Below are 4,639 nucleotides of genomic sequence, written 5' to 3' on the forward strand. Positions count from 1 at the left end.
CACTTTATTGAGGTCTCTGGCAGAAGAGTAACATCATCTGTGTGCAATAGGTCAAAATTTCCCTTTCTGGGCATGGTTCATAGAAAAGAGTAGAGTCAAAAGACCAAAATGCTGAGCTCACCAATATGCCACTATCCCACCATATTAAAGGCCCAGGCAGCATAAAAGAGTCATATCACTTAGGTCATGGCTCAGAGACATGTACCAATATCCCCAGTAGGCAGGACTCAGGCAGAAAATAAGAGTCGTATCACCTAGGTGCTTCTTTAATTATATGTCACAATATAACACATAGGCAGAAATCAGGCAGAGGAGCCAGAGCACCTGGGTGCTGGGTCCCGATATATGTTGCAAGTTCCCTTAGGATGAACCAAGTTGAAAGAGTTCATTGCCTTGATGCAAGTATAACATTCGTTTCACAATGTCCTATGTGGAAGAGGCCAAAGCATTGAGCTACATCACTTACTTGATAGGACCAGAAATATGTCACAATCTCCTCCCTGAAATATAACCCTGGCAAAAGAGTGCTACAATCTTAGTGCCAGCCTAGCAATATGTCATTACCACCCGCTGTTTTCAGGACCCATTCCAGAGATGTCATAATTATTTCTGTGGGTGTGGCCCAGGCAAGAATGTATCATCACTTGGGTTTTAGATGCAGGGATATGTCACAATCCTTACTGAGAGAACAGCCAAGACAGGAGTATCACATATGTTCAATGGGAAAATCCTCATAGAATACTCCTCAGTATGATTGAAAGAATGTTGTTCAATCAATCATTGATAGGTGCACAGTGAAGTAACTTCTGGTTTTAATTGGGTGCTCTCAAAGCTAGGATTGAAAACTCTTGGTTCTAAACTCACATGATGAGGAGTTATATTATGCTATCCTTTTCTGCACATTTGTTTATAGTCAGAGTTGTTTCAACTTGCCAATGAATAGAGTAGAAAATTGTTTCCCTGAGACCTACGCATCTCCCATTCATAGGTTTTTAGGTTGTGCATTTTTCATATTTCTTATAAGATCATGATCACAGAGATCATATTTGTCAAGATAAAGCTCTGTTGCACAAGGATTATGTGAAGGCGTTTACTACCCATGGCTCAGGGTTCCTTTAGAAGCAGGATGAAGCTCAAAAACTATTACTGAAGCCAGAAAATGAAGAGAGAAGTTAAGGGCTACCCACAGGAAAAAGCAAAGTGCTTCCTTTCACTTTACAAGTGGTCACTGCTTATCCTGACATTAAACTTGCATCTGATCATGATGTGTTTCTTGTTCATCTCTCTTGGTATTCCACTAAATCTGCGTCCAATGAAAAGAGACCTGGATGAGAGTAGTAAAGACAGTAACAGCATTTTTCTATATATTATGCCTTAGTGAGCTTTGAAGCACATTGAGCAGAGCCTGAATTCTTCCTCACTTTTGGATAAGTTGTGTCAAATTTGACACTGATGTAAATGGTACCAGGTTTAATATGTCAAAAGAAGAAACTCAGAACCAGTGAATGAGACAGAGTTTCATTCTTGTTGCCCAGGCTGGAGTTCAATGGCCCAATCTCAACTCACCACAAACCCTGCCCACCATGTTCAATTGATTCTCTTGCCTCAGCCTTCCAAGTAGCTGGAATTAAAAGCATGTGCCACCACACCCGGCTAATTTTGTATTATTAAGAGAGGCAGCATTACCATGTTGGTCAGGCTGGTGAAACCCCAGCCTCAGGTGATCCACCCACCCTGGCCTCCCAAAGTTCTGGGATTACAGGCATGAGCCACTGCACATGGCCAGGCCACTGCCAGATTTTTTAGGTTGGAACTTGAACACTAAGATGAATTTTTTATATAGTATCAGTCTTCAGCTATGCTAAAGTCAAGTTAACACTGTCAGTTGCATCCACCACACAGGCCGGTTCAGGCAATGGAGATTCTTCTTTCTGAGACTCTAGATTCAAAAAAGTTTTTGCTGTTTCTTGAATAGTTGGTTTGACAGGAGTTTATCTAAAAGGTCTTATGTGTGTGCACATTGCTGTATGGTTGTCTAAGTTAATGAGATGGCTTCTTAGTTGGCAGCGTCTCTTTCAGCTGCAAGTGTATACAGGCTGCTGAGGTGCCCCTTTACCAGATTTTTACTGGGGCATGACATTCTGGGGCCCCAGTTCAACTATTTTCCATGGTGGGACATGCTCAACGAGACCCTTAAATTGTGGTTCAGGTGAACCGGCTGATGTTGCCCTTTAAAAAACAGAACTGCTTGGTTTATTTCTTATTTTACTTGTCATTCTAACATATCTTTTGGTATGGAGAACAGAAAAGAATGTGAATATGTGACAGAATTCTTCCTAGAGTTGGGGCTATTTATACATGATACTTAAGTGTCAAGGTAGGTTGACAGATCTATCTTCCTGGTGCAGCCTGTGTAGGATAGAGCACTGTGACCCCTATAGCTCAGCTCCTGCAACACTTCAGAGGAATTTCAAAAACCATAGGATGTGGGGGTTAGAGAAAGAGCTGGTATAAATGGCAAGTTGCAAGTGAAATAATTGGAGGCAGGAAGATAACAGAACCTGTTTGGAACAGTATACATACTATTTGCATGCAGCTGAACAGCCAAGCCAGTTCTCTGATTTGGGCTGTGTACCAAGGAATTAACAGGCCCACTTCTGCTCTGGCCACGGTGCTGAACTCTTTGGTTCTAGAACCAAATGTAAGTTCTGGCCTGTTCGGTTTCACAGGCCAATAGAGTGAGGAGGCCCAGGTAGGCCAACAAATGTGGCTGTGGGTGGGCTTACCACACGTGACTGGTTGTGTCTGTGCCTACACTCACAAGGAAGAGGGATCTTCTTCCTCAAGGCAATCCTAGGGAATTTTAATACAAGCCCAGGCAGGTGTCAGGCTTATGGGAGCCAGTGAAGAAAATAGTTCATGCCTCAGCCCAGTGCTTTTGCCTATCCTGGCTTGTGGCTTTGGGGGCTCAATATAATCATCAGAAAAATGAACAATGAAAGCCCCTCAGTGACTGGCTGTTCACCCCACTTTTACCAGGCCACCACACAGTACCCACCCTACAGCTCCAGGTATAGCCTGTGCTTCAAAATGCTGGGGGATTTCTGGGATGAGTTCAGGGCCCTGAGAGGGTTCTCCCCCACAGGGATCACTCATGCCAACACCTCTGTGTGCACTGGATAGCTCAGCATGTCTGCTATATGCCACCCTTATTACCTGCTCTTGTCAAGCCCATGTCTTCCTGGGTTGGCAAGGGGCACATGCTCACTGAAGTCCATGTGGCCTGTCCATCTTTCCTCCCATGCACAGCCTCAGGGAGCTGTCATCCAGATTTCCTCCTAGATTATGATCTCAGGGGGTAACAACAGCACATTCTTCTCCAACTTATTGACTAGTAAATCTATAGTTCACTTAATGTGCCAAGGTGGGTGTGGGCCTTGATACTCTTGATCTCTTTCCTCTAGTGGGACTTTATTGGGGGTTGCCATCCTGATTTCTTTGTGGAAATAGCCAGCAGGTGAGGCAGAACACAAGGGCCTGGGGCAGACAGGACAGAGCACCTAGGTAGGAGGTCTCAGTGTATTTCCAGGCCCGTTTTCTAAGTCAGTGCCCATATCCCTTTTCTGGGCCTCTAAGAATGGTTTACTCTATCTGCAACCTGCACCCACTGCTCTGTAGGTGGTGAGCATCCATTTATCTTTTTGGATTTGATCTTGTCCTTCATTTCCATTGGATGTTCTCCTGGAAGAAATGCACAGGGAATCCTGAGCCTGTGCTGAAGGTTACCTAACAGCCAAAGTCAGTAAGAAGTTTTCAAAAATATAATTACTAGCATTTTCTGCACATTGTTATCTCATAGTTGATTTTGCCACAGAATGTGAAAAAGGAAATATTACAACTTTTATCCTTTCCCTTATTTTAATTAGATCATCATACAAAACTTTTATTTTTCTGAAATTTATTTTTTATGCCAATCATTGAATTTTTGTTTCCTCCTTTGTTCAAATTGTTACCTGTTTTAGAGGCAAAATCTTAAAAATATATGCTACAAAAATACTAACAGGTGATAGCAATTTATTTAGAATGTAATTAAGTTTCTTAAATAAGTAAATAATTTCAGTGAACTTAGTTTGCAGTATTTGTATAAATTATTTTCTATCTTATCCTCAATCTTAAAAAAAAGTTATCTTGGTAAGCAAATCAAAATTAACAGATTTTGTAAACAGACAACTTAAAAACATTTTTTGGACATGTTGGGTAATGTAATTCTCAAATATTTTATCTTAGAAATCAACACACTTGACAATTGATATTCTTAGTGTCTATAAAAGTGACATTATGAATATGCTTTTATACTTGACAAAAATTAAAAAAAGTATTCTAGTCTTCCTCAGTAAAACTTAAAGATTATACAAATAAGATTAAATATACCAGAAAAACTGAATTAACCAGAAAAACTGAAACACATTCATTCACTTTATCTTTCAGTATCTGATAATTAGCTGATGTTATGACATTAAGAATCTGCTTGAGTAAAGAAATAAGGCCAACCAGCTCTTGTGAAAGAATCATTAAAAATATACGGAACAAACATATCATGTATATTGTTTTTAAATATCACAAAATTTGCATAGAGGTG

The sequence above is a fragment of the Homo sapiens genome, chromosome Y (genome assembly GCF_000001405.40).
Source record: "Homo sapiens chromosome Y, GRCh38.p14 Primary Assembly".
Classification (NCBI taxonomy): Eukaryota; Metazoa; Chordata; class Mammalia; order Primates; family Hominidae; genus Homo; species Homo sapiens.